This window comes from Homo sapiens, chromosome 10, assembly GCF_000001405.40.
Source record: "Homo sapiens chromosome 10, GRCh38.p14 Primary Assembly".
NCBI classification, from domain to species: domain Eukaryota; kingdom Metazoa; phylum Chordata; class Mammalia; order Primates; family Hominidae; genus Homo; species Homo sapiens.
In genome coordinates, this window is record NC_000010.11 from 21,623,457 (window position 1) to 21,640,688 (window position 17,232).

Sequence of the window (17,232 nt, forward strand, 5' to 3'; positions counted from 1 at the left end):
ATGCTCTTATCACCCCATCACTCAGGACATCAAAGGATTTTTAGAAGTTCTGTGCCAGAAACTGGGGGCAGAGATCAAATATACACACAAAGACACACACACTTATTATATATGTCACAACTGTAAAATAGAGTTTTATTTTCCTTCAGTAACACAAGTGATACATAGAATGAACAGTTGATTTGACTAGTCAAAATCACTAGGAATAATCTTTAATAAGGAAGTCATTGCTGTCAAAGGACTCTATTTGTTTTTTTCTAACTCTTTTTATACTTGTTAGAAAGTTTTAAAAGCACCAACCTCACTTCTATCCCACTCAATCTGAAAACTTTTAAAAAGCCCTCTAAGAATTGTGAAGCTGTGTTTTCACAGAGAGTTTAAATGACTTGTTCGAAGGTCAGTGATTTGCAGTAACTGATAGTGGTTAGAAGAAAATGGAGTTATGTTGACTTTTAATCTATGGTTCTTTTTTTTTAATAGATTTTTTTAGTTTTATTGAAATCTTACATGAACAGGAAATTGGAAATACAATCACATCAAAGAACAAATTGTCATGGCTTTTGACGTTTAAGCCAAACAAATTTTGTAGGGCAGATTTCAAAATGGTGTGAAGTTATAACAATTTAAAAACACAGTTAACCTACTTCTAAAAATGCAAAACATACGATCATAGGTTATTTTCAGTATAAGAAAACTTAAATGTGTTTGCTTTAATTTCTTAAAACTACTAAGACATAGCACTAGCTTGTATTTTTATTTACAGCATACTCCATACTCCTATGTAATCTATCCTAGATCCAAAAAAATGAAATTCTTCAAAACCACAGGTTCTGCAAAATCATGACTTAACAGTGTGTTCAGCTTGTTTTGAAGCTAAAATGAAGCCCGAAATGATAAAAACATAACTCCCAGAATAAGGGAACTCTGTAAGCCCAATAATGTCCAAGAGCATTTATGAAAAGAGGAAAAATAAAAAGGCCTGAGTATATACACAATAGTGATTTCTTCAGCCCAATACAAATGGCAGCAAATTGCTACTTAAAGATGAAACAGTTAAACAAAATTTTTTTTGAAGAATGTAGATCTAGAGCCAGTCGTATCTTGCCATTATCATTTTCAAGCCCTTACTTGTCTGCTTCCACTGTTGCCCATAAGTATCCTGATAAAATTCCTGGTTGTCATTATTGTAACCATAGTTACCAGAATAGTCACCACCTTGCTGAAGCGGCTGCTGAGCGATGGGTTGAGAGACCCAGTTCTGTTGTTTGTTGGTCTGACGATGCTTGGAATCAGGTTGGTTGTAAGCATCTGCCTTCTCTTGCGTCCTACATTGTCCCCTGATTGCCCTGAGATCCACGGGAACCACGGCCACGGCCTCTCTGCTGTTGTGCAGGACCCCCTCTGCCACCCCTACAGCCTCGTGGTGGTCCCAAAGGTGCCCCCTTTTGTGAATAGCCAGCTCTACCTCTTGGAGGTGGTGCTCCCCTCCCCCTTGGTGGTGGTGAAGCACCCTGCCCTCCCCTTCCTCCTCTTCCTCTTACTGCATAGCCACCATCATAGCCATAGTAGGGAATCTTCGTAACCTCCTTGATAGATGTGGTAATCATAACTGTAGTAATCTTCATGCCATAGTAATCTGGAGGTTAGCCATATCCACCTCTCCCCCAACCTCTAATCGGAAGCGGCATGCGAGGAGGAGGGTGTAGTGATAATCTTCATATGCAGTGCTTCTGGAGGCCTGTCTAGCAGCTTGGCGCTCTTTCCTTTTCTTGTCTGGTGCCTTGGCTAAGACTATTTCAAGTTCTTCCCCTTCTGTTTCTTTGCCATTCATTTCATCCATAGCCATAACAGCTGCTCGTCTGTCTTCAGAATGAACAAATGCATAATCTTTCAACTTATTTACTCTTTGGAGTTCTCCAAATTCAGAAAATGACTTTTCCAATATTTCGTCTGTGCCCAAGTTTCTCACAAAGAATACTTTTACCTTAGCCATGACTTCTGGATATGGTTCTTCACAGGGTCAGCCCATTCAACTGTAACTACATTTCCCCATACTTTTACTTTTCCAGCATCTGGCTTGTACTGCTGACTTGTGATCCTCACATTTAAGGAAGCAGAACCCCCATTTCTTCTTTTTGTCATCAGGTTGATCATAGAGAATGACGTCCACCAAACCCTCTGTGACTTTACTGAATTCTTCCAGAGTGTTTTCTTTAGTCTTATTCTTCAGAATGGATCCAACAAAAGTCTGTTGTTTGCCACAGAAATGCGCACTCCATGTTGTTTACCAGGGCGAATTTCATAGCTGTCACAGTTTCACAGCTTCCTGTGCAGCTTCCTTTCCACAGAAAGTGGTAAATGCCTACCCTCTATTCTGACCAGACAGTGGATCTATGATAAGACGTAGATCCCAAATGGGACTGGCCTTCTCAAAAAGGGGCACCAACTCATCCTCATATACATCTCTTGGTATTTTACCTACAAACACCTCTGTTCCAATTCTAGGTTGCACACCAGAGTACACACTGTTTGGTGGAGGCCCACCATACTTCCTCTGTCCTGTGGTTACATTCAGAGTATAATCATTTCTCTCAAGCAAGGCCTTGATCTTCACTTCATCAGGTCCCTTTGTGGACTCTTGCACCTAGCTCCCCTGTTTCTCTCTCTGCCTGTAGGTCTTCATAACTCCACATAAAAATGCACTTTTGTTCTGAACATGTGATAAGTCACTTTCCTTGAACTGCTGTAGTACAGACAGAGCTCCTTCTTTATTAAATTCCCTGAGAGCATCAATTGCTCTTTCATCAAGATCGATACAAGCTATCAATCCAGGGCAGAGCAGGGGCTGGTGGCTGGGCCCGTGAGAACCAGTGCAAGGCATTTTGAAAATGACTAGAAATCTCGCACGCGTGCCACCCCCCAAGTCTATGATTCTTATGTTTACATGGCAAAGAAGCTGAAGGGGAAGCAGGTACGTGTGCAGAACGGGAGACCAAACATGAGAGGCAGCCTTCTAATCTATTCCTGCAAGAATCAACCCAGCCTCATGAAAGCTGCATTAATACATTCATGAGGGTAGTAGTCCCGTAACCCAAACGCCTTTTAATGGCCCCATCAGCTCTCAATAGTGTCACATTGGCAAATTTCAACATGAGTTTTGGCAGGAACACACCACACTTAAACCATAGAATAGGATTACTCACCTCTTTGAAGAGAGCTAGACTACTTTCTTCTGTGGCCCTCAAAGGAATAAAACTCTCAGTCATATCATTGGAATGACTTCTCTTTGTCTTTGTAAAAGTTTTCTAGCATTGAGAGTTACCTGGTACCTGCCCTTTTTGTGTACTTTCCTTTTGGAATTTTGTGCTCAAGTTGAACCTTTCAGCATCTGTATATGTGAAGAGTTAAGAGAGGACAGGTCTTTTCAGGAACATCAGTTTAGAATGTGAGGGTGTGTTGGGTGAGACTGAAGAGTATGGTAACATGAGACTAGCTAAGAAGAGGCTAGTTTATGAAGAATTTATAAGCAGTTAGAGTTTTAGACTTCGTCCTTGGGCATTGAGCCAGGCAGCCAGTAGGATTAATTTTTTTTTTTAAACTTTTGGTTTTTTCAATAGTTTCAAACTTAAAGTTGCAAAAATACTACAAATAATAATGCTGTACTACTCACTCATTCCAAAAATGTTAACATTTTACCATATTAATGTTACCATGTCCTTCGCTCTACCCTCCTTTGCTATCTCTCTCACTCTCTTTCTCCTCTACTCTCTGTAGAATCTTTCTGAACCATTGCAGGGTAAATTACAAATAACAATGCCTCTTTAGCCCAAGTACTAAAGTGTATAGTTTTAATTAAAAGGGGAATTTCCTAAACAATTACAGTACAGTGATCAAAATCAATAAATTAATATTGTTACAGATTATTATCTAATCTACAGATCATATTCAAATTGCAGCCACTGATGTCATCTACACCAAAGGGGGAAACATTTTTCTCTTCCATGTCCAGGATCCAATCCAAGATCACAAGTTGCATTTAGCTGTCATGTCTATTCAGTATTTCCCAGTTTGGAATATGTCCTTATTCATTGTCTTTTGTGACCTTGACATCTCTTAAAGTCCTATTTCAGGTTATCTGAGGTATTGCCTTCTGTCTTTCTTAGGTCTTAAAAAAGGGGTTTGTAGCCATACTCTTTTTTAAATCTTCATACAGCTGTTTTCTAACAGTGGCCTAGATTTTATCTTTCTCTGGGAGCCATTCTTTGATTTGAGCATTGTTTGCTATCTGCAGAGACTGGAAATTTTTAAAACCAGCAAGTCTTGGCTCTTTTTTTTTGGTCAACAGTCTTTTCATTAACTTATTTCTGTACTCCTGCTTTTTACTATAAACAGTAAGAAATAATTAGACTGCATCTTCCACCGAATACCTAGAAATCTCCTTGTTAAATTATGCAACTCATTAAATACATTTTCTATTTTTCATGTTACCACAGGCAAGGTTGTGCCTAAACTTTCAGTTACTAATTATGAAGTATTCAGCTTCTTCCAATTTTCAGTTACCTTTTTCTCACTTTGGTTTAAGCCTTTAGTAGCAGCCTGCTAAGGGCCATGAGGTTTCTAGTGACAATCTCTTCATTGCTCATCAAGCTTTTGCTGATATTCTCCTGCAAGTCCTGTCAGCTTCTGCCTACTACCTGATTCCAAGCAGCGCCTGCATTTTCAGGTTTTATTGTATGGGAACATCCGTCTCCTGGTAACAGATAACCAGGAGTAATCTGTAAATCTGTGTTAGTTAACTATTGTAGTATAGCAATTTACCCTGAAATATATTGGCTTAAAACTGCAATAAACATTTATAGTCTCACAGCTTCAGTGGGTCAGGAATTTGGATTTAGTGTCTATTATCAGATTGCCTTCATGTTGTCTTTGATTATAGTCATTTAAAGGCCAGACTAAAGCTGAAGGATGCTCTCTCTTTTTTTTTTTTTTTTTTTTTTGAGACGGAGTCTAGCTCTGTCACCCAGGCTGGAGTACAGGTGTGCAATCTTGGCTCAGACTCACTACAATCTCCACCTCCCAGGTTCAAGCAGTTCTCCCGCCTCAGCCTCCCGAGTAGCTGGGATTACGGGCTTTTGCCACGACGCCCAGCTAATTTTTGTATTTTTAGTAGAGATGGGGTTTTGCCATGTCGGTCAGGCTGGTTTCAACTCCTGACCTCAGGTGATCTGCCTGCCTTGGCCTCCCAAAGTGCTGGGATTACAGGCATGAACCACTGTGCCCTGCCTTTTTTTTTTTTTTTTTTTTTTTTGACACAGAGTCTCGCTCTGTCTCCCAGGCTGGAGTGCGGTGACATGATCTTGGCTCACTGTAACCTCTGCTCCCAAGTTCACAAGTTCAAGCGATTGCCTCAGCCTCCGCATTAGCTGGGACTACAGGTGTGTGCCACCATGCCCGGCTAAGTTTTGTATTTTTAGTGGAGACGGGGTTTCACCATGTTGGCCAGGCTGGTCTTGAACTTGTGACCTCAGGTGATTGCCCACCTTGGCCTCCCAAAGTGCTGGGATTACAGGAGCTGCCACACCCAGCCGCTGGAGGATATTCTCTAAGATGACTTACTCACATGGTTGACAGTTTGGTGGCTGCCTTTTTTTTTTTGCTGCATGAATTTTTTCTTAGGGCCTTTTGAGTGCCATGTGACATGGCACCTAGCTTTTCCCATACGGACTGCTCTAAGAGCAACCCAAAAGCTGCCATGTTTTTTATAGCCTGGCCTCGGAAGTCACACGGTATCATTTTCTTTTTCTGACTAAATGTCTTATTTATTTTTTTAATTTATTTGTCTTTTTATTTGTTTTATTTGTTTTTAAGGTTTTTTTGAGGTAAGAATAGATAACATAACATTTGCCATTTTAACCACTTTGATGGCATATTGTTATTTTTACTCTCTATTGGATGCATAGGTAAGCCTGTTCAGTACGGGTAGGCACTGCACAGGTACAAAGATCATTGGGGGCATGGAGGCTTTCTACCACACCTTGAGATTTAGGCACATATCCTGTTTCTTATTAAATTTTCACCCACAAGTTTTAGCATTCACTGATGAGTCTAGCCTGAAATAAATAATAGTTGACAAAAGGTAATTTTCTAATTGTATCATTGTCAATAGTGGGGAAGGGTGGAGTCTACAGAGGAAATAAAAGAGTAGGTTGAGTAGTAGAAGGATAAATGTTATGTTCTTTGGATTTAGCACCAAGGAAGTCATTGAAGAGGAGTTTCAATGTAGAGTTTCAATATATTTATTGGTAGATAAAGTGGGTGTGAGGAAGTACAGGTAGTGAGAGTACTTAACTCTTAAGAATCTCAGATTTGCTGGGCTTGCGTGTATAGTCCCAGCTGCTGGAGCGCTGATGTGGGAGTATCTCTTGAGATCAGGAGTTAAAGGCTGCAGTGAGCTATGATCATGCCATTGCATTCTAGCCTTGACAACAGAATGAGACCTCATCTCTTAAAACAAAAAATTAAAAAAGAATCTCAGATTTGAAGACAAAAGGGAGGAGGCAGGAAAAATGATACTATGTCTTCTTCTGTTTTGGTGGGGAAGAAAGAAGAGAAGCATGTAGGTGAATAACTAGGTCACCTGGGTAGTAGAGCAAAGAAACTAGATGTGGGTTGAACCCTATCAGAGATATTGCTAGGCAGATTGGGTATACAAATAAGGAGGCCAAGTGCGTTATTTTCAAAAGTGTTTAAAATAATGGATCATGAGATTGAGGTGGGATAATAGATGTAGTGGAACTAGGGAAGGGCTGGAACATAGAGTTACAGGAGATATTGGAGCATGGGCCTAGAGGGCTCAGTAAGGTTCAAGAATAAGTATAGTAAGAGTGTGAATTAACTGCAAGGTTATGAAGAAAGAGTAGATCATTGTGGTTTAATATTTCATTGGGATATGTTGGGTGATGGCAGCTTCCAGGTGTTGGAAGACAGTTCTCCATGGTTCTCACATTTATACACATCTTGTGAGTGGCAGCCCTGACTGCCTTTGTTCTTTTCAAGGTTGTTTATGTTGTTTATATAGCAAGCAAACAGCCTTGGAAAACAGAGGCACTATCATTCAAATTTCTCCTGTAATTCAGTCCACTGTGTGTATAAATGTCATCTTGCCCCAGGTCACCCTGTCAGAATGGGGAACTTAGGCAAATGCTAACAGTCTGGCTTTTGCTATTGCCACGAGTATTAAAGTCCTCTGTGTCCAATGCAGGAGTCTTGTGTCATCTTCTACCAGCATCTATGAAACTGTGGTGAACTAACTTGTCACTTTACAAGTACAGTAAGATCTTAGACTCTTTGTAGTTTTTGACACCAAGATGTGGTTTTAGGCATACTGAAGGAGAGTCTGAATGAAAGCCATTGAAATTGAGAATATTTGAGGACTGTGCGAGTTGTTCATACAGTTGGCCTTAACTCGCTAGCACACCCACCCACTCTTGTGGTCCAGGGATGTTGGGATACTGTGGTTCAAGGTCTTACCAAGATCACATGTAGCAGGAAAGAGTTGCCTAAAGAAAAGTACGTCGGGCGCGGTGGCTCAAGCCTGTAATCCCAGCACTTGGGGAGGCCGAGGTGGGCGGATCACAAGGTCAGGAGATCGAGACCATCCTGGCTAACATGGTGAAACCCTGTCTCTACTAAAAAATACAAAAAAAAATTAGTCGGGCATGGTGGCGGGCGCCTGTAGTCCCAGCTACTCGGAAGGCTGAGGCAGGAGAATGGCGTCAACCTGGGAGGCGGAGCTTGTAGTGAGCCGAGATGGTGCCACTGCACTCCAGCCTGGGCAACAGAGCAAGACTCCGTCTCAAAAAAAAAAAAAAAAAAAAAAGAAAAGTAATGGGCAGACGAAGAGATAAAGAGACACCTATTAATAAATGATAGAGCTGGAATTTAAGATGAACTATGTCTGACTACGAAGTCCCTGGAATTTTTTTTTTTTTTAAATACATCTTTCTGCCTTTACTGGAGGCTGTATTAGTCCATTCTCACACTGCTATAAATGAGAATGAGTAATTTAGTAGGAAGAAAAGAGATTTAGTTGACCCACAGTTCTGCAGGCTGTACAGGAAGCATGGCTGGGAGGCCTCAGGAAACTTACAATCATGTCAGAAGGCGACGAGGAAATAAACACATCTTTACCATGGTGGAGCAGGAGAGAGAAAATGAAGAGGGAAAGTTTGAAACTGCTACATACTTTCAAACAACCAGATCTGGTGAGAACTCTTATCAGGAGAACAGCAAGGGGGAAGTCTGCCCCCATGATTCAGTCACCCCACCATCAGGTTCCCCCCCCAACACTTGCAGATTACAGTTCAACATGAGATTTAGGTGAGGACACAGAGCCAAACGATATCAGAGGTAAGAATCATATCCCCTTTGAAAGTTAGATAAATCTGTATTACAACTTGAAGAGTTTTTTTTTTGGTTTTTTTTTTTTTTTGGTTTTAGTACAAATGGTGAAGTTTTCACATGTTCTCAAAAGAATGCTAATACAGAATATGCCTTATCAATCCTCTGTTCTGTTCCAGGAAGCTATTATTTAACTGAGTAGTATTTGGGAGAATAAATTTTGAAGACCTGCTTGCTTAAATAAATAACTTGTTAAAAGAAGATAAAAAGTGAAAGTAGATGTGAATAGTCTTTTTGAAATTTAGCTTGAATTCAGATGTTGAAGACAAACAGTAATATAGTGTGCATCAATTAATTGGCATGTCCATGAAATAGAATGTTATGGCTAACTGAATTGGCTGAGGATTAACTTTATTTAATAGAGTTATTTTTTGCAACTTGTAAGGTTGAGATTGCATGTAATGCAAAGACTCATGTTTAATTCATGTAGGTGTTTAGAATTTTATTCCAGCTATCTAATTATAGCATCATGGAGATGAAGTAATGATAGCCTATTGTTTTCCATTAATAATATAAATATTTATTAATGTATTTATCACCTGTGGCAAATGACCTAGTTTTCATTTCCATTTTTATAGATGAAGAATTAGGGACATGAAGGTTTAATTAGATTTGATAAATGTTTACAAAGCGTCTACTCAATTCGAGACACCATGCTCAATCCTTGGGAAAACAGAATTTAAAAATCTGGAGAGTCACAATCAATATTGAACAGTTTGTTTAAAGTTTTGTATTTGGGGGCATAACACCAGTAGAATCCGGTTTATTTTTTAAAACTTTTCTGCTCCTTTCTATGGCCTCTCTTTTGTATTTTTTCAGAAATGTAGCTATAAGCAGTGAGAGTGTTATAGTAGATAGATCTGACTTATCTGAGAAGCCATTTAACTGTGGTATATAATCTAATCTCCTACTGATTGTAGGATGCACCTTCATTTTATGTGCCACTAAGAAAAAATCATGCCAAGTAAACTATGACACAGCAGTATTATAATACATAACCTGATTTTAGAGATTTATTTAAATAAATAAATCTCTTAGGATCTATTAAACATGGCATGTCAAAGAACTTAGAGTTCCTTTTAACTCTTTCAGGTGTTGCATATACAGTTAAAAGATGTGTATATGATTGTTCATCACTATGGTAGCTCATATTTAGAAACCATGTAAATTGCCCGTAACAGATGAATAAATTATGGCACATCTGTAAAAATGGGGCATTATGTTGTGTCTCAGTTTCTTCATCTGCATCAAGTTGATTTTAGTGCTTACCTCATAGAGTTTTTAAAACTAAATTAGTTAGTACATGTAAAATGTCCTGGCACATATTAACTGAAAACCTGGTTGTTTAGACAGAAAACACAGGAGCATCTTAGTTATTAACCAACATTATTATTGTAACACTTATGATTTAGAATCATGATTTAGAAGACTAATGAAGTGCAAAGATGTTTTTAATATAAGTGAAAGATACATAGTGTATTCCCAGTTTTGGTTAGGAGATTTTTAGGCCAGGCATAGTGGCTTATGCATGTAATCCCAGCTCTTTGGGAGGCCAAGGCGGGTCTAAGAGTTGGAGACCAGCCTGGGCAACATGGCAAGAAGCCATCTCTACAAAAAATATAAAAATAAGCTGGGCATGGTGGTATGCACTTCTAGTAGTCCCAGCTACTTAGGAGGCTGAGGTGGGAGGATTGCTTGAGCCCAGGAAGTCGAGGCCACAAAAGCTGAGATTGTGCCACCGCACTCCTGCCTGGATGACAGAGACCCTGTCTCAAAAAAATTATTATGGATTCATTTGAGAATTAGTTTTTCACATTGTGATGCTTCCTCTCTACACAGTTAGGAATGTATCACCTAAGAAGTTGATTCTATATAGCCACAATGTAATTAGCTTAGGAAATTTAACATTAATATAATACTATTAAAAAACATATAATCCATAACCAAGCATCTCGTTGTTCGAGCAATGTCCTAATTGATAGCCAGTTTAAGAAGAAATTGATGTAGAAGTCAAGTATCAAACGTTGCATTTAGTTGTTGTCTCTTTAGTCTCCTTTAATCTAAAATAGTCCCAGCACTTTGGGAAGCCAAGGTGGGTGGATCACTTGAGGTCAGGAGTTCGAGACCAGCCTGGCCAATATGGTGAAATCCAATCACTACTAAAAATACAAAAACTAGCCGAGTGACGTGGCTCGTGCCTGTAATCCCAGCTACTTGGGAGGTTCAGGCAGGAGAATCACTTGAACCCAGGAGGCAGGGGTTTCAGGGAGCCGAGATCACACCCAGCCTGGGTGACACAGCGAGACTCAGTCTCAAAAAATAAAACAGTTACCAGGATTTTCTACCTTTCATGACATTGACATTTTCTTGAGTTCAGACTAGTTGTTTTGCAGTGTTGCTCAGCTGGGATTTGTCTGATTTGTTTCCTCCTGAAAAGATTCATGTTAAGCATATTTGATGGAAATACCACGTAGATGATGTCTTGTTCTCAGTGCATTGTATCAAGGGACATATGATATTAGTTTATCCCATCATCCGTGATACTAAATTTGATCCCTTGGTTAAGGTGTCGTCTACCAGATCTACTGTGAAGCTTTCATTTCCCTGTGAGATATTACTTGAGGCTTTGAAATTTCTGTTCCCCAATAGTCTTTCATGCAGTGTGTTTAATATATCCATTGATGATCTTTGCCTGAATCTGTTGTAACTTTGGTGGTAATAATGTGATGATTTTCTGTTTCTATCAATGCTTCCATATTTATTTCTTGGCATGCTTTGGTTATGAAGAACTTCATCTGTCCATCCAAACATCCATCCATTCACTAATCTCTCCAGTATCGAGTAGACTCAAGTTTATTTTTTTAAGTTCACTGTGTTACGTAATTCCTGTTATTATTCATCTTAATGCTCAGATTGTCCCACATTTGGCCAATGGGAGTCCTTCAACTTGGCACTTGTGCCCTTTTGAAATTTTTCAACAGTTTATAAAAATTTCCTTAATTTCTAGTAAAACAGATGCTGTAGGCTTATCTTGTCTTCTTTTCTGCCCCAGACCTTGAATCAGCTCATTTTCTAACACTGGTTTCTTTTAGTGGAGGTAGCATATCTACTTGGAGTGTGTCTCTGTCCTAGAATGGACCCTTCAGCAGTTTGAGAGATCATACCAGTCCTTCTTACTGTGTACCCCATGCGCTTACCTGTTACTGGCCAGTGCAGAACTCTTCCTGGTTTCAGCTGCGTTTCTCAAATTGGCTCTCAGTGCTTTCCAGTAAGTACTGTTGACTAAATATTTAGTGCTTTTCTTGTCACTTCCTTCTTCCTCATGAATGCTGTTACCATGTGGGCCTTGTAACTCTTTTCCTTACCTCCTTGTATTTTGGGGTTGATGGTGATGCTTTTACACTTGGTTTTGTTGTGTTATTCCATGAGTTTTTAGTTTTATTATCTATTTGCTTTGCTTGTTTGTTTTTTTGAGACAGAGTTTCACTTTATTGCCCAGGCTGGAGTGCAGTGGCATGATGTTGGCTCGCTGCAGCCTCTGCCTCCTGGGTTCAAGCAATTCTCTTAGCCTCCCCAGTAGCTGGGATTACAGGTGCATGCCATGTCACCTGGCTAATTTTTGTAGTTTTAGTAGAGACTGTGTTTCATCATGTTGGCCAGGCTGGTCTCAAACTCCTGACCTCAAGTGATCTGCTCACCTTGGCCTCCCAAAGTGCTGGGATTACAGGCTCTTTGCTTTGTTTTTATATTTGGGATTCAGAAAGGATGAGAAACTATGTTGCTGCCACCATTTTCTCTTGCTGTTTTTTGTTGTTGTTTTTTTTTTTGAGATGTAGTTTCACTCTTGTCTCCCAGTCTAGAGTGCAATGGTGCAATCTCAGCTCACTGCCACCTCCGCCTCCCGGGTTCAAGAGATTCACCAGCCTCAGCCTCCCGAGTAGCTGGGTGATCTGCCTGCCTTGGCTCCCCAAAGTACTGGGATTACAAGCGTGAGCCGCTGCACCTGGCCTTTTTTTTTTTTTTTTTTTTTTACATTGCTCTGTTTACTCCTCTTCTGTCAAATCATAGCTCTCTTCGTTTTACTCTTTTCTTGCTCCTCTTGTACCCAAATTCAGCACTTAACCTAGCCTTGCCTTTCTGGTGAAGCTAGACTTCCTTTGACTTATAAGACTCATACTGTATCTCTGTCTTTTGCATGGGTTTTGTTGTTGTTGTTGTTTTTGAGATAGAGTCTCACTCTGTCACCTAAACTGCAGTGCAGTGGCATGATCATGGCTCACTGCAGCCTCAACCTCCTGCATTCAAGCAATACTCCCACCTCAGCCTCTGGAGTAGCTGGTACTATAGGCATGCACCACCGCTGCCTGGCTAAGTTTTTATATTTTTTGTAGAGATGGAGTCTCCCTATGTTGCTTAGGCTGGTCTTGAGCTCCTGGGCTCAAGCTATCCTTCTCCCACCTTGGCCTTGGCCTACCAGTGTTACGATTACAGGGTTGAGCCACTGCGACCGGCCCATGATTTTTTTATATTTTCATTTCACTTTTATATTGTCTTTATATATGTATATGTCTTATTGTCAGACTGTATCATGTCTCAAAGCTGATCTATATTTTTTATGTTTTAATGTTCTTTTATAGTGCCTAATATGATTTCTTTTCTTTTCTTTTTTTTTTTTGAGACGGAGTTTCACTCTTGTTGCCCAAGCTGGAGTGCAGTGGTGCGATCTTAGCTCACTGCAACCTCTGCCTCCAGGGTGCAAGCCATTCTCCTGCCTCAGCTTCCCAAGTAGCTGAGACTACAGGCGTGTGCCACCACGTTGGCTAATTTTTGTATTTTTAGTAGCTTTTTTTTTTAAACCCTGAGTGTCAGGTGTGAGGTAGTAGAAGAAAGGTAGTGTTGTTGACAGCTTGTGAGTACTTAACTAATTCTTGTTGCATTCACTATAATATGGTAGTTGTGTATACATTTATAGGCAATTAGGAATAGGGAACAGAATCAGCAGATACTAACGGAGTTAGAGATGTTTGCTGAAGTCATGGAAAGCCATCATTACTTTTTTCTTCCTTCCTCATAAGGCCTTAGTGGGTGTGGCGTTCAGTTTCAGTAAGAACTCTGTAGCAAGCTAATAGCTCCTTTTCAAAAAGGATGCACTTAATAGCCATGTCATTGGGGCATCAAGTCCAAATCTCCAGTGGGTGCCTGTGGGTGGAGGCTTTTTTGCCAGAGGATTCAGTTGGCAAAATCATAATTCATAGAAACATGTAGCTTAAAAGCATAATGAGGCCTGTGGGGTTCCAAAGGTAGACAATGTGCTTCAGCTTCCTACCTAGCTTCCAACACAGTGTGTGGGTTTTGGGCTACTCTCATAGGATGCATATTTACAGGATAGCTGACATTTAAAGGAAAAGCAGAACGTTGAAGTGAGTGTCATAGAGCCCCTGTTATTTAAAGAGTTCAGTAAGGTGTTCAGCCTGTTTTTCGATGGTGGGATTCTGAAGAGACCCCACCATCCTTGACTGCCAGAGGAATCTGGCGTTGTGAATCTGTTCCTATACTTTCCAGAAACTTGTTGAGCAGGTCTTTGAAATTTATTGGAGTTTCCACCAACTGTGCTGACAGAGGAGATAACATTACAGAGCTATTGAGACTGAGGCTTCTAATTTACCAGCTAATAGTGAGAGCTTTGAAAATCACAGGGTAGAGGTACTGAGTCCTGACATACCTATTTGTGGCAAGTGGCAAGGGAGTTTAGGTCACCCCTCTGGGAAAGCACTTCAGACATATTGGAGGGCTTTGACACATGGATGTAAACTGATCTTGATCCTTAGGTATGAGTGTTATGGCAAAGAGGCATTAGAAATGTCCAGAACAACCTACCAAGTACCATCAGTGTGTAGTGGATTTAGTCTGTAACAGCTGGGGCTATAAGAGCAATAACTAAACTCACTTGGCGCTAATTCACTGTTAGCTTCCTGCTCTTACTAGCCTTTTTTCACTGGCCTTGCAGGGCTTTTGTGTTGAGATATTGCATCTCTTCCTACCCCTGGTACCTTTGAGTCCTTTATCGAAGCTGTGGCTTCCCTTTGTCCTTCTGGAATCCTATGCTGTTTCTGTTGGACCACCCAGGAAAGAGACATGGTTTGGAGAGTGATTTACATGTCTCATTAGCATTTCTACGTGCTGCTCTTCTTGGTGGGGAGAATACCTTTTGCACTTATGGATGGGTAAAGATAAGCATATAATACAGGGGATGGCAAACTTTTCCTCTAAAGGACCAGATAGTAAATATTTTGGGCTTTGTGGACCGCATTTAGTCTCTATCATATATTCTTCTTTTTGGTGGGGGGAGGGGGGCGGGGGCACTAAGGAATATTTTAAAGATGCAACATTACTCTTAGCTTAGGTATCATAATTTGCTGACTTCTGATATAACATATCATTTCCTCTTATACCTTCAGATGTCCAGGCAGTAGTGAACATACAGTTTAATTCCCCAAAGACCCCACCTACAAAGTCATGTTAGCTTCCTTACCCCCTGAGAATCCTGCCCACTGAATCCTGGGATCTTTTCCTTTCATGGGTCCAGGTGGGATAGTGATCTGGGTGCCTGTATCCAACAGAGTCTTAAAAACTTGTGTTTTCTGGCTGAGCACGGTGGCTTATGCCTGTAATCCCAACATTTTGAGAGGCTGAGGTGGGAGGACTGCTTGAGCCCAGGAGCGTGAGACCCCATCACTATTTAAAAAAATAAATCGTGTCTTTTCCTCTCCTCAAATTCCATAGCATACTTGGATGACTACATGTGGCCATTGAGGCCTCTTGGGGATAGGGAGTGCACATCCCCATCTCTAATTATTTTTCTTCTTAAAGCACTGAGGTCACCTAATTGTTACAGTGGGGTAGAAATGAAGCTGACTGCCAGATTGGTGAGGAAGTCCTCTCCACCTAACCAGAGTAGGCTAGCTGCCAGCACAGCATCCTTGGGCAGCTCTGTTTAAACATAGTTTCTGGTGCTTAGCCTACAGCCACCTCTTCAGTTTCTCCTCATTATTCAGGCAATAAAATGAAGACCCATTAACTGCCTAGTTGACCGTACAATTTTTCATTTTTCGACTTTCCTCAGATCCCATTAATTGGCCTGTGAGGCCTTTAATTTTCCTCTTCTAAATAGCCATACCCCTAACAGCATTATATTCTCTCATCACCAAACTGTCAAGAACTATGAAAGAGGTGGAATAGAAAAAACAAACAGTTTCTCCTGCTGTAATCTCACAATACAGAATGCTTCTGTGACCCATAAATGTATGGGGATTTCTCCCCACCAAGCAAGCTGTCAGTTTTGCAGCAGACATCATCTGCGTTTGGACACTATCCACCTGGAGATGGCATCAGATTACACAGGTTGGGAACTCAGTCCCACAGGACTGAGCCTCACTTTTGATGCTGATTCTAAGCCCCAGGTGCTTCTGTTCAACTGACTGTGACTTGGGGTTCCCACAGCCCCCTCCTTGGGTTGGATTAGTTTGCTAGAGTGGCTCACAGAACTGAGGGAAACCCTTACTTATGTTTATTGGTTTATTATGAAGGATATTACGAAGTATACAGATGAAGAGATGAATAGTGTGAAGTATGTCACTGGGTAGGGAGGCAGAGCTTCCCCATCCTCTTGGGCCTTTGTTATACCGAGTTCACTGGACAGGCATGACTGAAGCATGGACACCTGTGTAGAAATGTGATTGGACAAAGGTATGATCGAACACTAATAGACTGAGTAGGGAAACCCAAGCAGGCCTGTATGTTCACACGCTTCTTGGCCTCTCTGTGCAGCATTATTTTCTTCTGGGTATTGGGGCAGAACCCCTTCTGAAATGGGGGTTTTATGACCCACAATCAGACAAGGTAGGTCAGAGAATTTCTTTATGTCCAGCTCCATGATAGAAAAGTAGGGGAAGTTTAGAGCATATTTTTAGTTTTCATGGCCTGTCTTGGGGAGAAAAAGGAGGGCAGGAAAGGTCCGAAAGAGAGAGATTCTGTTTTCTGAGGCCTAAAGCACCCCATTATAACAAAGGACTGTCATTTCACCTTTGTTACTCTGCCGCTGTTCTGAAGCTGCATCAGGAACCAAGGACAAAAGGCCAAATACTTTAACAAAAGATACGCCTGTTTTTTTAGTTACTTAAAAAATGGCAAGGACTTTGGGAGTTTTGACCCAGGGACTGTGGACAAAACCAATATATGTATACATATATATTATATATAATATCAAATATTATTATATAATATTTATATATTATATTATATTATATATTATATATTATGTAATATAAATATTTATATTACATAATATATATTATATTGTATTATATATAATATATATTATATAATATATATGTATACATATATTGGTGTATATATTACATAAAATATATATACACACACATATATGTGTGTGTGTATATATATGTATATATCATAATATCACAGAAGTCTATCATTTGATCTTACTTGTAAAGTAGCTAATTAAGAGATGCAACTTCTGGGTCAAGAGATAGACAACTTATTACTTAGAGCAATAGCTGTAACCAGAGTATCAGTAATTTTTGGTCATTTCCCAAGCCCAGTTCCCATAGGGCACTGCAAAGAAGGCCAGATAAAATCTGTTTGTGCTGTGTGTTGCATTACAGGAGAGGAGCCCTGAGCTTAGGGCACCTGAATCTTCTGTAATAGACAGTAAGCATAGCTGACCTTTGCTTTCTGTCTTCTGAGGCTATT

General features: G+C 40.3%; 1 protein-coding gene and 1 pseudogene across 4 annotated transcripts in view; one reads left to right on the plus strand and one right to left on the minus strand.

The window, feature by feature from the left end:
- MLLT10 (MLLT10 histone lysine methyltransferase DOT1L cofactor) overlaps positions 1-17,232 on the plus strand; it is a 209,875-nt gene that overhangs the window by 89,701 nt on the left and 102,942 nt on the right. The window lies entirely within an intron of this gene.
- On the minus strand, positions 446-2,900 carry HNRNPRP1 (heterogeneous nuclear ribonucleoprotein R pseudogene 1; annotated as a pseudogene).